This window comes from Homo sapiens, chromosome 2 (assembly GCF_000001405.40).
Source record: "Homo sapiens chromosome 2, GRCh38.p14 Primary Assembly".
NCBI classification, from domain to species: domain Eukaryota; kingdom Metazoa; phylum Chordata; class Mammalia; order Primates; family Hominidae; genus Homo; species Homo sapiens.
The window spans coordinates 157,875,382-157,891,262 of record NC_000002.12 but is presented as its reverse complement, the minus strand read 5'-3'; the positions used below and the strand labels follow the sequence as shown (position 1 = coordinate 157,891,262).

The 15,881-nt window shown below is 41.7% G+C and overlaps 1 protein-coding gene and 1 long non-coding RNA gene across 7 annotated transcripts in view, besides 7 other annotated features; one reads left to right on the top strand and one right to left on the bottom strand.

The window, feature by feature from the left end:
* LOC105373714 (uncharacterized) overlaps positions 1-14,679 on the bottom strand; it is a 41,791-nt gene extending 27,112 nt beyond the window's left edge. Inside the window, exon 1 of one of the 2 annotated variants that reach the window (XR_923517.3) lies at positions 14,535-14,679. This is a non-coding gene — a long non-coding RNA (uncharacterized LOC105373714). The remainder of the gene's footprint in view (positions 1-14,534) is intronic. The other variant, XR_923518.3, reaches the window with a different exon arrangement.
* Positions 14,372-14,561: a silencer, noted in NCBI's record as "silent region_12034". NCBI's record gives its function as "represses an Ori minimal core promoter by ATAC-STARR-seq in GM12878 lymphoblastoid cells {active_cell/tissue: GM12878}" and the evidence as "EXISTENCE:reporter gene assay evidence [ECO:0000049][PMID:35858748]".
* Positions 14,582-14,821: a silencer, noted in NCBI's record as "silent region_12033". NCBI's record gives its function as "represses an Ori minimal core promoter by ATAC-STARR-seq in GM12878 lymphoblastoid cells {active_cell/tissue: GM12878}" and the evidence as "EXISTENCE:reporter gene assay evidence [ECO:0000049][PMID:35858748]".
* Positions 14,582-15,101: a biological region, named in NCBI's record as "Sharpr-MPRA regulatory region 13798".
* Positions 14,692-14,986: an enhancer, noted in NCBI's record as "tiled region #13798; HepG2 Activating non-DNase unmatched - State 4:PromP, and K562 Activating DNase unmatched - State 1:Tss". NCBI's record gives its function as "activates a minimal TATA promoter and a strong SV40 promoter by Sharpr-MPRA in HepG2 and K562 cells {active_cell/tissue: HepG2 | K562}" and the evidence as "EXISTENCE:reporter gene assay evidence [ECO:0000049][PMID:27701403]".
* Positions 14,882-15,101: a silencer, noted in NCBI's record as "silent region_12032". NCBI's record gives its function as "represses an Ori minimal core promoter by ATAC-STARR-seq in GM12878 lymphoblastoid cells {active_cell/tissue: GM12878}" and the evidence as "EXISTENCE:reporter gene assay evidence [ECO:0000049][PMID:35858748]".
* Positions 14,933-15,881, top strand: part of ACVR1 (activin A receptor type 1) — a 139,885-nt gene continuing 138,936 nt past the window's right edge. For 3 of the 5 annotated variants that reach the window (NM_001347665.1, NM_001347664.1, NM_001347666.1), the window contains exon 1: positions 15,401-15,467. The gene's annotated coding sequence lies outside the window, so the exon portion shown is untranslated. Of the gene's footprint in view, positions 15,522-15,881 lie in introns of all 5 variants that reach the window. The other 2 variants (NM_001111067.4, NM_001347663.1) reach the window with 2 other exon arrangements.
* Positions 15,112-15,161: a silencer, noted in NCBI's record as "silent region_12031". NCBI's record gives its function as "represses an Ori minimal core promoter by ATAC-STARR-seq in GM12878 lymphoblastoid cells {active_cell/tissue: GM12878}" and the evidence as "EXISTENCE:reporter gene assay evidence [ECO:0000049][PMID:35858748]".
* Positions 15,252-15,461: a silencer, noted in NCBI's record as "silent region_12030". NCBI's record gives its function as "represses an Ori minimal core promoter by ATAC-STARR-seq in GM12878 lymphoblastoid cells {active_cell/tissue: GM12878}" and the evidence as "EXISTENCE:reporter gene assay evidence [ECO:0000049][PMID:35858748]".

The following is a 15,881-nucleotide window of genomic DNA, read 5'->3' as shown; positions in this document are numbered from 1 at the left end:
TGTGCACCTGGTTCCAAAGACAATATTTAATGTGTAATCTGTTTCATTTGCTTGGGGAAGTAAGTGTAACTCTACCCCCTGGATCACATCTGCATTAAAATGAGGGGAGGCAGAGTCTTGTTTCAGCGAGTGGAAATTTATGCACATGAGTTGTCTTTTACATGGAGACAGCAATTATACCCCTAGAAATGCAGTCTGTGGGAGAAAATGACATATTCAATACTGGGGAACAAAAGCCTAATGCTAAGAGGACATTAACAAGGTTGGGAACCCCCTCCCAACAATTAACTGATCATTTACAAAATCTGCAATCTATAAAATTATTTTTAAAACATGTTTTTCAAAACAATGTGGTTTTTCTCCTTCTTTCTCAAAGAAATAAAAAGATTCAGCAGCAACCATACAGAATCTATTAGCTACTCCACAATAACAAATAATGTTTTAAAATCTCTTAAAATATATCTGGGGATTGAAACAAACACACACCAGGGAGTGATAGGTGATCCCTGGTTTAACAGCCTTATAACGACTGAGGGGAAAAGTGTGGCCAAGAATTTTTCATTTTTACGTGAGAAAGTTGTGGTGTTTGAAAGCAACAAACAGAATTCCAGAACACAGACTCAAAAAAAAAAAAAAAAAAAAAAATAGAGCATATGCAAATAAAAGTTGTTAGTTAAAACTGTTTTTTTAAAAAATAATTTGTTGGTTGATTTTCTTAAAGTCCAAAAGGGCAAAGCTAGAACCATTTAAATGAATTTAAGTTTGTGCTTCTCCCTGTCTTCTCTGGAGACTTTAAGAAATGGATGAGGAAGGATTTGCTGTCTCTCCTCAATGCCTCTGTGTCCTTTCCACTTTTGTGCTTCCTGGGCACACGGAAAGGCTTTATTTCACACACCATACTTTATTTCATGTACTGATTGTATCACCAACAGAAAACTATGTGCCCTGCTTAACTAAGATAGAATACAGTAAGTCAATGAAAACTCCCATTTGTTTTTGAATTTTTCTAAGTTGATAATGCTTAATCTTAATTTTTGGTGCATGGGTATGTGCATACTCTTTAATTAGTCTTGCTACAAAATCTGAGTGACAGCACTAATACTTTTTATTGATTTACTCTGAGATTTTTTATTTGGGTTCTTGGAAAACTTAAGTTTTTCTATCAATTTTGGTATATTTTCAGAAAGTAGCATTGAAAGAGTAACTTCAATGGGTCAGGCTCTGGGGAAAAGCCAGCTGCAAATTCTAAATCCCGACTACCTTTTGGAAAAAACTAGGAATTGTAAATGTAAACAAATATGGAAGAAGGAGAGTTTAAAATGTGTTTAATATATTCTGAACCACCATAGCACTAAAATCATAGATATTGTAAAATTATGGCATGGCAATATGATATATTATAGAAAAGAGCATGATAGAATGGAATTAGAAAACCTGAATTCTACTCTGCATTGGGTAACTACTCTTTTGGAGGAATTCATTCAAACTTTAAGCCTCTATTTCTTCAGTAATTGAAAAAAAAAAAGTAAAATGGAGGTGGAGTCCCCTGACCTGGTTTCATCAAGTCAGTGGCATTGCCATCATGATCATCATCATCAACAACAACAACAAAAATGGGTAGGGTTAGGGGAATAGGGAGGACTAACTGATCTCAAAGTTAAAAGAGACCTAAAAGGCCAAACAGATAAATGCGATAAGTGGTCATTGTCTGGAGTCTGATTTGACAGAAGACTTTTCTGAGAATATTCAGGCAATTAGAATCTGAACTGGAGATTAGAGGATACCAAAGAATCATTAATTTTATTAGATGTGATAATAGCATTATGGTTGTGTAAGAAAATGTCTACATGCTTGTTTATTTATTTATTTATTTATTTATTTATTTATTACTTATTTATTAAGATAATGTCTTGCTCTGTCACCCAGGCTGGAGTGCACAGTGGCCCTATCTTGGCTCACTGCAACCTTCACCTCCCCAGTATAAGTGATTCTCATGCCTCAGCCTCCCAAGTAGCTGGGACTACAGGTGTGCACCACCACACTCAGCTAATTTTTTGTATTTTTAGCAGAGATGGGGTTTCGCTATGTTGGCCAGGCTCGTCTTGAACTCCTGGTCTCAAGGGATCTGCCCATCTTGGTCTCCCAAAGTTCTGGGATTACAGGTGGGAGCCATGGCACCCAGGTGTCCATATGTTTTAGAGATGCTTAGTGAAAGATGTTGGGATGGAATCACATGATGGCTGAACTTTATATTAAAATACTTTAAAAAAAAAAAGAAAGTGGGAAACAGACAAATCAAGTAAATCAATTCTGGCTTGATATTGATTGTTGTTCAACCTGGTGATAGATACCTGGCATTCATTATGCTATTTTTTCTCTTTTTGCTTATGTTTGAAACTTCATTAAACAGAAACCCTAATATCATCAAATTCACACAAAAAAATTGAGGGCTGTATTAAATTAGTTCAAAATTTGCTTCAAAATAGAAAATTCAATCATTCTATTTCAAAGGCTGAGTAGTGATAATTGTAAACATCTAAAGCAATTTTTGTTTTATTTTCAAGATCAAATAGTATCTAAGTAAACTGTGTTACGATTATTCAATTTCATTGGTGCCTAATATCTATCTAAATGAGAATCAAGTGGAAGCAGACAATTCACTGCAGAAAAACTTCCGATGAACACTTGATTTGCCAACAAATCCGCACTTGATTCGCCAACAGGGAACTTCTGACCTTTAGCAGCAACAGAGCAAGCTTTTCCAATTAAAAGCTCATCTCATCTCTACGAGAGGTTGTATGGAACATGTTCATCCAGATCAATAAATTGCCTTTTTCTTCTCCTTTTTCACCAAATAGATTATGTGGCCATTTTCTATCTAGGAATAATCACTGGCACCAACAATTTTTTTCCTTCAAGTATGCGTATTTCTTTTCCATTTCCAAGTCCTTTCCATTATGAAGAGATTCAAATGTTTTCACAATTCACATTTTGAAACTCCAAATTCTTAGATGTCATCAGTAACATCTTTAGCTGTTAAAGAGTGGGACGTTTATTTCCTTCATTCCAAATTGGATTTCTGTGTCAGAAACTGGAGGATTTGGTAACCTTTTGTACTCTGTTGTAGAGCACTAGGAGGAACTGAGTCATAGTCAAACTTCAGACCGTTCATTGGTTTAAAAACTCATGTTTGTCAAAGAGAAAAGTAAAGCAAGATTTGGTGCATTTTATAGTCTAGTACTATTTGGCTTGGTGTTGATGTTAACCTTGATAGGGATAGATGAATTTGGTTGAACACAATTTTTATGGTTACTTAGGAAAATCAAACATTACTTAATGCAGTTTTTATATTATTGATAGTATATACAATATTATTTTGGGAGCTTTAGAATATAATTGGCAAACAACCATTTTATCAAAATAAAACAAACTTTTCAGACTGTTCCCTCCCTCATCACTGGTGACTCCTTCAGTACAATAGAAATGAAAAGAGTTCCCAAGAGAAAGGCAGCCAGCCCCACTGCAAAGATGGGAAAAATAACAAGTGGAAACTAAGATAATCTTTAAAAGTTGTTTGCAGATTAGAATTTCTACCTGGTCATTCCTCAGCAGGAAAAAAACCCAAACCTCTTTATACTATTTTCAATAAAAATAATACTAAAGTGCTAATGGAACAGTAGGCAAAGGGCTTTAATGAAAAAGAAAATTAGAAAAATAAACAGCTAACATATATTTATGAACAAGTTACAATCTCATCAGCAATCATATATTCAGATTGAAGTAGCTAACTTTTAAAATTTCCAAACTGGCAACGATAATAGAAGGTGTGGTGACAAAGATGATGTGGTAAGATGGACAAGCCACTGGAGAGAGTTCCTGTTACTGGACAATTGGAAATATCATCTGGATTCCTACTTTTAAGAATCTATCCTGCTGGGTGTGGTGGCTCACGCCTGTAATCCCAGCACTTTGGGAGGCTAAGGTGGGTGGATCACTTGAGGTCAGGATTTCAAGACCAGCCGGGCCAACATGGTGAAACCCCGTCTCTACTAAAAATACAAAATTAGCCAGGTGTGATGGTGCGCACCTGTAATCCCAGTTACTTGGAGGGCTGAGGCAGGAGAATCACTTGAACCTGGGAAGCAAAGGTTGCAGTGAGCCAAGATCGTGCCACTGCACTCCAGCCTGGGCGACAGAGCAAGATTCTGTCTCAAAAAAAAAAAAAAAAAAAAAAAAAGAATCTATCCTAAGGAGATGATGACATTCCCCATCATCGTACTCTCATAGACTATCTAATGATCTGGGACAATGCTCACAATAAAACTAGAAGAGTCACAGAAAACCATGTGTATTTATATTTATATTTATATATAACATATGAATAATGAAAAAAGCAAGATAAATTTATCTAAAATATTATATCTATTTACATTGGACAGTAAAATCAGTTTTACCTTTATTGAAATACTTTTCTCTTTTTTTTTTTTTTTTTTTGAGACAGGGTCCCACCCTGTTGCTCAGACTGGTGTCTAGTGGCACGATTTTGGCTCACTGCAGCCTTGAACTCTTGGGCTCAAGCAATCCTCCTGCCTCAGCCTCTCAGCCTCCTGCGTAGCTGAGACTACAGGTATGTGCCACCACACCCGGCTAATTTTCTTTTTCTTTTTTCAAAGATATAGGGGTCTCACTATATTGCCCAGGCTGGTCTTGAACTCCTGATCTGAAATAGTCCTCCCTCTTCAGCCTCCCAAAGTGTTGGGATTACAGGATAGTCCTCCCTCTTTAGCCTCCCAAAGTGTTGGGATTACAGGAATGAACCTCTGTGCACAGCCTATGTTTATTTTTATAGTATATGTTGCATTAACTTTATTTGTAACAGATGTTTATTTTTATTATAAAAGTAACAATTATTGCAAGAATTTTAGGAAATACAAGATATGAATAAAAAACATATGACTACTCAATATATCCATGTAACAAAATTGCACTTGTACCCATTAAATTTATACAAATAAAAAAATTAAACTGCGGAAAAAATGTATAAATATGTTGAGAAACTGCTAATGGCTGCACGGATTCTTTTTGGGGTAATGAAAATATTTTAAAATTGACTGCAATGATGGTTGTACAGCTATTTGATATGTGAAAAACCATTGAATTGTACACTTTTAAATGGGTGAATTGTATGGTATGTATATGTATATTATATCCCAATAAAGTTGCTACCAAAACCCAAAAAAGAGGCTGAGAGTGGTGGCTCACATCTGTAATACCAGCACTTTGGGAGGTTGAGGCGGGCTGATCACTTGAGGTCAGGAGTTTGAGACCAGCCTGGCCAACATGGTGAAACCCTGTCTCTACCAAAAAAAAAAATATATTAGCCGGGCATTGTGGTGCATGCCTGTAATCCCAGCTACTCAGGAGGCTAAGGCAGGAGAATTGCTTGAACCCAGGAAGTGAAGGTTGCAGTGAGCTAAGATCGTGCCACTGCATTCCAGCCTGGGCACAAGGGTGAGACTCCGTCAAAAAAAGAAAAACATCCAAAAAAGTATAAGATCACCAGCACTGCCATCATCCCAAGATTACCACTGTCAGCATCTTGGCAAATAGCCCTCCAAGCTCATTTGTGTGCATCATATATGGTTGTTTAAAGAATAAAAATTAAATCTTACCAGGCATACCATTTAAAAAGTATTTTTAGCCCAGGCACAGTGGCTCTTGCCTGTGATCCCAGGGTTTTGGGAGGCTGAATTGGGAGGATAACTTGAGGTTAGGGGTTCACAGCTACAGTGAGCTATGATAGCACCACTGCACTCCAGTCTGGGCTACAGAGTGAGATTCTGTCTCTAAAACAACAAAAAAGTATTTTTTATTACAACATGTATAACTTTATAATCACAGAAGAACCAAGTTCTAGTTCCAGCCTTGCCTTAACTAGCTATGGAATCTGAAGAGTCACATGGATTTTCAGGAACAAACTTTTTCTGTGTAAAAGGCAGACTGGGACTAAATAAGATCTTCTGTCGCTTCCAAGTCTAGAGTTCTGTGCTTCCTTGAGGGAGGTGGCACTATAACAACAGTACACACTTGGATGTAACAACTGTGTTGAAATGATGAAGACTGTTTATCAATGGAGAACTACTAATCTTCAAGATAAACTTTTAGGTTTAATTTTAAAAAGAAAGCAAAGGATAGAAGAGTGTGGATAGCATGTTACCATCTGTGTTAAGACAAAAGAGAATACATGTGTACTTTCATATGTCTAGAACATCTCTTTAAGGATACATGGAAGCTGGCATTATTGAGAGGGAAATCAGTAGTTGGGAAACAATGGTGGTTCAGGAATTTATTTTTCACTATACAATATATCCTTTTGTGGGTTCCATGGTGTAAGTTAGCACTCTGGACTCCGAATCCAATATATCCTTTTGTACTTGTGTATTTTCTTTTCTTTTTTTCTTTTGGAGAAAGGGTCTCACTCTGTTGCCCAGGCTGGAGTGCAGTGACATGATCTTGGCTCACTGCAGCCTTGACCTCCAGGGCTCAAGCGATCCTCCCACCTCAGCCTCCCGAGTAGCTGGGACTACAGGCCTGTACCACCGCACCTGTCTTTGTATTTTTTGTAGATATGGGATTTTGCCATGTTGCCCAAGCCCTGGGCTCAAGCAATCCTCCTGCCTCAGCCTCCCAAAGTGCTGGAATTAGAGGCATCTGCCACTGCACCGGCATACTTGCATTTCTTTCTTTTCTTTTCTTTTTTTCTTTTCCTCCCTCCCTCCCTCCCTCTCTCTCTCTCTCTTTCTTTCTTCTTTCTTTTTTTTTTTTTTGAGACAGAGTCTTGCTCTATCGCCCAGGCTGGAGTGCAATGGTGCGATCTTAGCTCACTGCAACCTCCACCTCCTAGGTTCAAACAATTCTCTTGCCTCAGCCTCCCAAGTAGCTGGGACTACAGGAGCCCACCACCATGCCCGGCTAATTTTTTGTGTTTTTAGTAGAGGTGGGGTTTTCCCATGTTGGCCAGGCTATTCTTGAACTCCTGACCTCAGGTGATCTGCCCAAACTGGCCTCCCTAACTGCTGGGATTACAAGTGTGAGCCACCACGCCCAACCTTTCTTTTTTTAAACAGTAAAATAATTATTAGGAAAAAACGATTAACAGAGACATATGGACGTATTGGGTACAGTGATAAGTGATGTAAAGCAAATTTGTCACTCACTTCCTTGCTTAAACCCTTCTTTTCTTTTTTTTTTTTGTGACAGAGTTTTGCTTTTGCTGCCCAGGCTGGAGTGCAATGGCGTGATCTCGGCTCACCACAACCTCCGCCTCCTGGATTCAGGTAATCCTCCTGCCTCAGCCTCCCAAGTAGCTGGGATTACAGGCATGCACCACCACGCCCGGCTGATTTTGTATTTTTAGTCGAAACGGGGTTTCTCCATGTTGGTCAGGCTGGTCTTGAACTACCAACCTCAGGTGATCCGCCTGCCTCAGCCTCCCAAAGTGCTGGAATTACAGGCGTGAGCCACCGCACCTGGCTCACTTAAACCCTTTTAATCACTTCCCTTGATGGTGACTTGTGCGACCTGCATAATTTGGCTAGGCTACTTCATCCTCCTCCATGGCCATTTCACCACATGCTCACTTCACTCTAGTAACACTGGTCTTCACTAAGTTCCTAGAAATCTTAAGCTCTTCTTCCTCAGAAACGTCAAATGCAGTATCAGCAATGTCAAACAATTAACTTCCTACGATTTCCAACTTAACTTGAGGAATTTCAAAATGCAGAGACCTCCAAGGTGCAACCCACCCCTCACTCTACACCTGAGGAAAAACTAGGCTCTGAAATCTGAAGTTACTTGCCTAGGGTCACACAGCTAGTTCTCCACTACATATATGTAATTAACCTTAGCAGTTGCTCTCTGGAGTTTCACTGAACAAAAGTAGGTTAATAAAAAGGAAGCCTTTGGATTTTAGATATTGGTAGAATGGGGCTACATTAGGACTTAGAAAATTAATCTGATTTCTTATCCATGAAAATGTCTTCATGATGCCATTGCTCAGAGGACCCATCAGGAAAAAGAATGCTTCCTAAAACTGAAAAGCCACTGTAGTGCTGGGTTCTACCAAGAGCCACACAGTTATATTTGAAATGCATTTGTTTAATTTGAGGAAGAAATTAATTTGATCTTCCCGCCATGGGACTAGCTTTTAAAATCCACATCTCAACAATGTAGCTAAATTAACAGTAGTTAAGTAAATTAGAAACTCAAGGAGCTTCAGAATGTGAGCAAGACCATGGACAGTCCCGATGGGCATCTATCCCTCGAGGCTACAAGGAGGTTGTCACAAAGAGCCTGAGATGCAGGCAAAGAAGCAAGTCAAAGCTCTATGAGTTCTTTGAAAAAATTTCTTCTGAAAGAGATGGACTTACTACCGGAGAACAAAAATGTCAAATTTGAATTCCATTCACAACACCGCACCTCCCACTTCACAGATAAAAATCCATATGCATTCCTCACCGGTTAGGTCTTGTCCCATGATTGTCAGACCCTTTAAAAATATGTGCATTTCTATTTTTATAATGTTTATTATTTCTGCTTATAAAAGTGGTACGTTATAGAAAAATTGGAACACATAGATGTGTAAAGAAGAAAATAAAAGTCAGTCGTAGTTCATGTAAGTATTGCACGTCCTGGAATATTTCCTTCTAGTCTTTTTTCTTTGTGTATACATTTGATGGATGAATGTGCTTATAAGGGTTATGGAATTGGAATATTACCTTTGTCTTCTATTTTTTTTTCAACTTAGGCTTTATTGTTGGAATTTCAGAGTTATTAGATAGTAATTATTCTTTTACACAAATTTTTGTGCGATTAATAATAATTATTTTCATGGCATAAATTTCTGAAATGGGATTAAAATGTCCAAGGGTATAAATCTTTTAAAATATTTGATACATATCACCTAATTATCTTCCAGAAATTGTTTTCCAGTTTACACTCTCCATAGCAACTATGTCCTTTATAAAGTCAAATTTACCAATAGAGAATATGTTTAATTGCTGACAAATTGTGTGAAATAATTATATTAAATATTTTATCTCAGTTTTGTTTGTATGTATTATCTTTTCTTAGAACTTTGGAGATGGTAAACTTTTTTCCTAAATCTTATATGTAATAATTTAAATTTTCCTTGTCTAGTCATACTATTTGCTTAATGCTCTATTAGACGGTACATTTTGTTTATTTGAAGTTTTTTTATAATTAAAGATTTTAATCCTTTGAGCATTTGTTGAAAATACAAAGAAAAGGCCAGACACAGTGGCTCACGCCTGTAATCCCAGCACTTTGGGAGGCCGAGGTGGGTGGATCACGAGGTCAGGAGATCGAGACCATCCTGGCTAACACGGTGAAACCCCGTCTCTACTAAAAATACAAAAAATTAGAGGGGTGTGGGGGCAGGCGCCTGTAGTCTCAGCTACTCGGGAGGCTGAGGCAGGAGAGTGGCGTGAACCCTGGAGGTGGAGCTTGCAGTGAGCCGAGATCACGCCACTGCACTCCAGCCTGGGTGACAGAGTGAGACTCCGCCTCAAAAAAAAACAAAACAAAACAAAGTAGAAAATACCTTCTTTTGTTTGATTGTTCCTTAAAAATTTTTAGGGAACATTTTGGACAAAAATCAAAATGTTAGGGAAATTTTTTCCCATAGTAAAGCAAATCAACTTTTATTCTTCCATGGCTTTTATTTAGAAAGTTCTTTTCCCATCTAAAGATAAATATTTACCTACATTTGCTTCGAGTTAATTTTATGATTAAATATATGTATATATATTTAACTTTTTATTCCTTTTGGAAATATTTTCAGGAATGGTTTGAGGGGAGGCACTAACAGAATTTTTTTCCAAGTGCCTCAATACCATTTAATAAATAATCAGCATAATTTTGTAATGCCTCTTATATCACACTGTTGGCCCATAGTCACACAGTGGTTTGTACGTAGCCTCCTATGCCAGGAGTGACTGCATTGACACCCATTTCAACTATAGGCAGCTTGAGGACTCTGTGTATAACTCTCACAGTTCCCAGAATATGGTAGGTGGCCAGTGAACTCTTATATGAAATGCACAATTAATGAGTCATTGATACACCTGGGAAAGTTTAACTTGGAAGATAAACAAATGTCTGTCCTGACTGGTTTAAATGTTTACCTTTTGAGAAAAAGGGTGCCAAGTCAGACACGACTTTTAGTGATCCTTTCTGCTTATGATTTTCTCTTCCACCCCCTACTATTTTGATCGAGTTGCTTAGATCTTTAGAATATAATATTGGTTTCTTAGGGCCTCAGGATTAGGACTAAATTTAAGATCTCAAGGCCTTATAATTCATTTTTCTCCAAGAACAGTTATGATGCATCTGGGCTAGTATTTCTCACATTTGACTGATATACACAGCTTTAAAATGTATGTACCTTTTAAAAAAAAGGACCATGAACCTTCAGTAATGCCTTATTTTTATTAAAACATCATTTAAATAAGGTGCATGTCCTTTTAGGCACATAGCAAAAAAGACAATGGGGTCATGGTTGCACGGTAGACACTCATATGATCCACAATATACCCAATATTAAATTCTTTAATATATTGTTGTAAAAACATTGTGATTGACGCAAAAGCACAAATTTCAAGAATTCATAGAGAACCTGGAGATCTCCCTAGGAGTATATATAAGTCATTATTCTAGTCTAACAAAACAGAAATTGGAAAATTATTTTACCATATACCACATTCAACCCTCAACCTTTGCTGTTTTTCTAGGCTGTATGGATGCCTACTGTATAAACTCATCTGCATGTATTGTAACCATTATACAACTATGAAACTAAAGCTAAATAAAAACAAAACTATAAAACCTATGCTTCAAATAACCTTATTTAATGAGACGGACGATATTGTTTGCTCAACAAAAGTGTCTGTTCACATCACAAACATGGTACTATTGTCTTCTATAAGCAGCGATTTTTTTTTTTTTTGGTTCTACATGCCCATTACTTAGTGAACAGACTTATCTGGATTTGTTTGTTCCTTCCTTCCACTATTAATCTTTATTTTTCTTCAAGAAACCTTTATTAGTTGAACAGCACATCAATCCATCAGGATTTTCATGAATTATCACCAGCTGTCAAATATCCCACCAATATTCTGAAGAATTTGCTTCTGGAAGTTGATAATTAAGCTGATTTTTGCTTTACAGATTTTAAGAAAACATGCTTTTTTTTTTTTTTGGAGACAGAGTCTCGCTCTGTGGCCCAGGTTGGAGTGCAGTGGCCCCATCTTGGCTTACTGCAACCTCCGCCTCCTGGGTTCAAGCGATTCTCCTGTCTCAGCCTCCCGAGTAGCTGGGATTACAGGCACGTGCCACCACGCCTGGCTAATTTTTGTATTTTTAGTAGAGACAGGGTTTCACCATGTTGGCCAGGCTGGTCTTGAACTCTTGACCTCAAGTGACCCACCTGCCTCGGCCTCCCAAAGTGCTGGGATTACAGGCCTGAGCCACTATAGCCAGCTAAGAAAACATGTTCTTTTATCCCATTATGAAATAAAACCTCTCTCTGAAACCAAAAAGAAATGGTTCCAAGATGAAAGAAAAGTACTCAGTGTGGTTAAATATGTTAAATAATTTTTAAAAATTATGACTTACTTATCGTATCACTTACAATCTCAGTACAAAGAGGATGTGGTTATTGTTTGTAAGTCTAAAAGCTTAACACACTGTAACAGAGAAGCTGTTTTTATTTATTTATAAAATTTATAATTTATTTATTTATAAAATAAATTCCCCCAATTTTATAGAAAAATATCATACAGGACTCTTAGGTTGCTCAAGACCCTGTTTCCTAATAGTTTTTGAAAGCTGTTGACTTTTAGAAATGAACATGTTGATCTGGGCGTAAAGGAGGAGGATATGCAGAAAACAGAAGAGATGCCAATTCACAATGCAGCAGGCAATTAATTAGCAAGAGTCGTGCTCCTTGAAACATATGATTGAGGAGATCTGAAAATCTTAGAATAACAGAAGATATATTTCCTCCAAGTAACTTTACTGGTGTGATTTTCCACCAGAGTTCAATCAATGAATTAGAGTAAGGTTGTGGTTCTCAACAGGAGGTAGTTTGGCACCCCCTCCCAGAAAATATTTGGCACTGTCTGGAGACATTTTTGGTTGTCACAACTGTGGCGGGAGGGTGTTCTGGCAGTTAGTAAGTAGAGGTCAAGGATGCTGCTAAACATCTTACAATGCACAGGACAGCATTCACAACAATTACCCAGCCAAAAATGTCAATAGTGCTAAGGTTGAGAAACCCCGGATTAAGGTGTCCAAGCCAAAGGGCTGTATCCTTGTGTGCACAGGGCTTGTGTGGAAGGCTGTATCCTGCTGGAGGAGTGGAGGAGCCTTTTGCCTCTTGCTTTACACACACACACACACACACACACACACACACACACACTTTATGTCGAAAGGCCACAAGTACTGTTACAGGACCCCAACACTTACCCAAAGGTAGCCGTTGGGTCAGGGTTTCTGCACTAAAGTCCCTTCTGTGGTTGCCAGGAATATGTTTTAGGGCAGGGGTCCCAATCCAGACCCCAAGAGAGGGTTCTTGGATCTCACGCAAGAAAGAATTCAGGGCGAGTCCGCAGTGTAAAGTAAAAGCCAGTTTATTAAGAAAGCAAAGTGGTGAAAGGACACCTACTCCATAGACAAAGTAGGATGTTGCCGAAAGTAAGAGGAGGAACGATTCCATGCTAGGTACATCGCTCGTATATATAGGGAGATGTGCTCTGCTACAAGAGTTTGTGATAAATAAATAAATTACTATATTTTGCAAGAATCAATATTATCTTTAAAGCAAAATTAGGAATGCCTTTGTTCTCCAGATATCGGGATATCTGGACACTCCCAAGTCTGGGTTTGTTTAGTAAACACTATTAATTTGTTCCCTTAGCTGTAAACATCTAGAGGCTAAGAAAGCCTAACTTCCCGAGAATGCAGCCCAGCCAGTCTCAGTCTCATTTTCCTAGCCCTCATTCAAAATGGAGTTTCTCTGGTTTGAATGCCTCTGACAGTACCATCCAGAATTCTCCCAGTCTCCTGGCACACTAGTAAGTCACAGGAGGTTGAGTTAGAGTGTTTTTCACTGAGCCAGCCATACAATAAGACCACTATTGAAGGAACTGCTTAAGGAACAAATAATAGGAACTGTTCAGAGCATAACAGGATTCATTAATTCATTTATTTACCTACTCAGCAAAACTTTATTGAACACCCACATGAACCCTTCTGCTAAACATTGTGATACATGATGAATACAATCAGACCTGGTCCCTGCCCTCTTGCAGCTTACAGCCTGGGAGGGAACTCTAAAGGTTACCAAGAAGGGCCAGTTTGTACAATGAGGACTCCATGAATGTACATCATTGAGCTTCACAAGCTTTCACGTTTGTAATCTCATTTGAACTGCACAACCACCTCACGAGACAACCTGTATTCCCTTCTTAGGTTAAAAATGTGCCCCAGTTCAAAACAGTTTGTAAGTGGCAGAGCTGACACTTCAGCCAAGTGACAATGAGGGCCCTGTTACATCATTCTATAGAGCAGGGATACATATAGGTGCTCTTGCCTTGATTGGTACTGAACTTGCCTCTCCTGCTCCTCACCAATCATACAGGTACAAAGCTCTCTTTATGAAAAAAATGCTCCCACCTACTCCATCCTTTTGCTTACAGCTGGGGATTCTAGTTTTTTCACGTATATATGCCTTGTATTTCTAATTAGATTGTAAACTCCCAACCTGCAGGGACCAGATCTTCCATTTCCTTTGCAACCTTTTGCAGTACTGCAGTCACCCAATAAATGCCCTCTGCATGAATGAACCTGTAGAGATAAAAATACTTTATGGCATTCCCATTTATAGGTTTCATGTTTTTATTCTGCTTTGTGATAGGACTGTACATTATAAGCTTCTAGAGGGCAGAGAAAATGGCTTAGTGCTTTCCTTTACACTCAGCAGGAACCATGCAAAATTTGATCCTTGCATGCCTTTTTGATGCTCTGGGTAATATTAGCACACTGGGGTGTTTTTGTGTATCTAAGGACCGAGGTTATCAGACTCTCTGCAGCGGAGAATGTTCCTGCATTTCCACTGTAAGCTCCCATGGCGCCTAGGACAGGGCTAGATCACTGCAGAAGCCCCTCCATGCTTATTTCTGTTACTAAGGAAGCCAAAGGCGAACATGGCAAGCTCTGTCATAACCCTAGACCTTGCAAGGAAATGAGCAAAGTGGAAGGGGATCTGAAGGCAGGTCAGAGATGGCCTGGATGAGAATGCTAAGGCTTCTCTCTGAGAATCCAGCCCAAGTCTGACATGCAGGGCTCGAGTAGGTGGCCGCCCGCAGTCGCCGGGCCCGGGATGCCCGCCCGTCCGCCCGCCTGCCCCGCGCGCCCTCGGGAGCTGTCCAGACGGCCCCGCCCGCGCCTACCTGGGCACTCACCCGTGCCGCGCGGCCTCTTCTCCTCCCACCCCGGCCACAGGAGCCCAGCTCGGGCCTGCCCCGCCGCCTCCGAGGAGCCCCGCTGGCGGCGCGCTCATAGCTTCCACCCGGGCCAAGCGACCGGCCAGACAGCGCCAGGCGCGCCGGGGGCGGCGCGGTCAGGCTCGGCGGGGCTCGGCGGGCTCGCCCTCGGCCGGGCGCCTGCAGGGGGCGCGGGGACGGCCCCGCCCCGCCGCCTCCTCTCTCCCCTCCCGGCTCCCTGGATCCGCGCCGGGAGGAAATGATGTGTTGCTGCCTGGTTAATCACAGCTCCAGACACTCATTGGCCGAGCGCTCCGCAGCCACTTCCTCCTCCTCCTCCTCCCGCTCCTCCCGCTCCGGCTCCTGCTCTTTGCAGCCGCCGCCGCCGCCGCAGCCTCCCCCTCGGCGCAGGGGGAACTTTTCTACTCTCTGTGACGGTCTCCCCCGCCGCCCCCGGGGGCAAGCCCAGCTGGTCCGCCCGCCCCGCCCGCGGTCGTGCTCCCAGCCCGAGCCTCTGCGCCTCGGGAAGTTTATTCTGCCCGCCCTCCTCCCCTTCCTCCTCCTCTTCACCCCGCCTCCCCGCCCTCCCCCGGCTCTTTCCCCCGGGTGGCTGCCGCTGCCGCCGCTGCCGCTGCCAGCCTGCTCCTCGGCCAGCCGCGCCGGCCCCAGGGCCGGGAAGCTCCCGGCCCCACGCACCGCTCCGCTGCAGCCACCGCAGCCGCCGCCGCTCTGGGCCGGCCCTCGGCCCCCGGCTCCCGGCCCCGCAGAGTTCCGGGCTCCCTCGCCGGCTGCACCGCCCCGCCCCGCCCCGCGCCGCCCCGCGCCGCGCCGACCTGCAGCGCCCGGCTGCCTCGCACTCCGCCTCCCCCGGCTCAGCCCCCGGCCGCGGCGGGACCCGAGGTGAGCGCAGGTCGCCGGCCGCGCCTGCTGGAGCCGGGAGGACTGAGGGAGGAGGTAGCCTAGCGGGAGAAGAGGCAGGGATCGGGGGTGGCAGGGTGGGCGTCTGCGGTGCCTCCCCCTCGCTTTCATTCCTTTCTCCCCCAAGCTTGATCCCCTCTCCGTGGGGGAAGCAGCCGCGGAACAAAACTGTCTTGCTTTGGGCCTGAACTGCTGGTGGGATATGGGGGGTGGGGGGGCAGAGGCGTGGAGCGGGGGTCTCAGGTTTGTATTGGGGTGTGTGTGAGTGCGTGTGTGTGTGTGTGTGTGTTGTGAACTCCTTCAGGGTGTGCGACTCTGACTTGTAAATCGATCTGGCCGCGGGGCCACGGGGCTTACCTTCCTAGCTGAGCTTGTAGAGAGTAAGGAGATAGATAG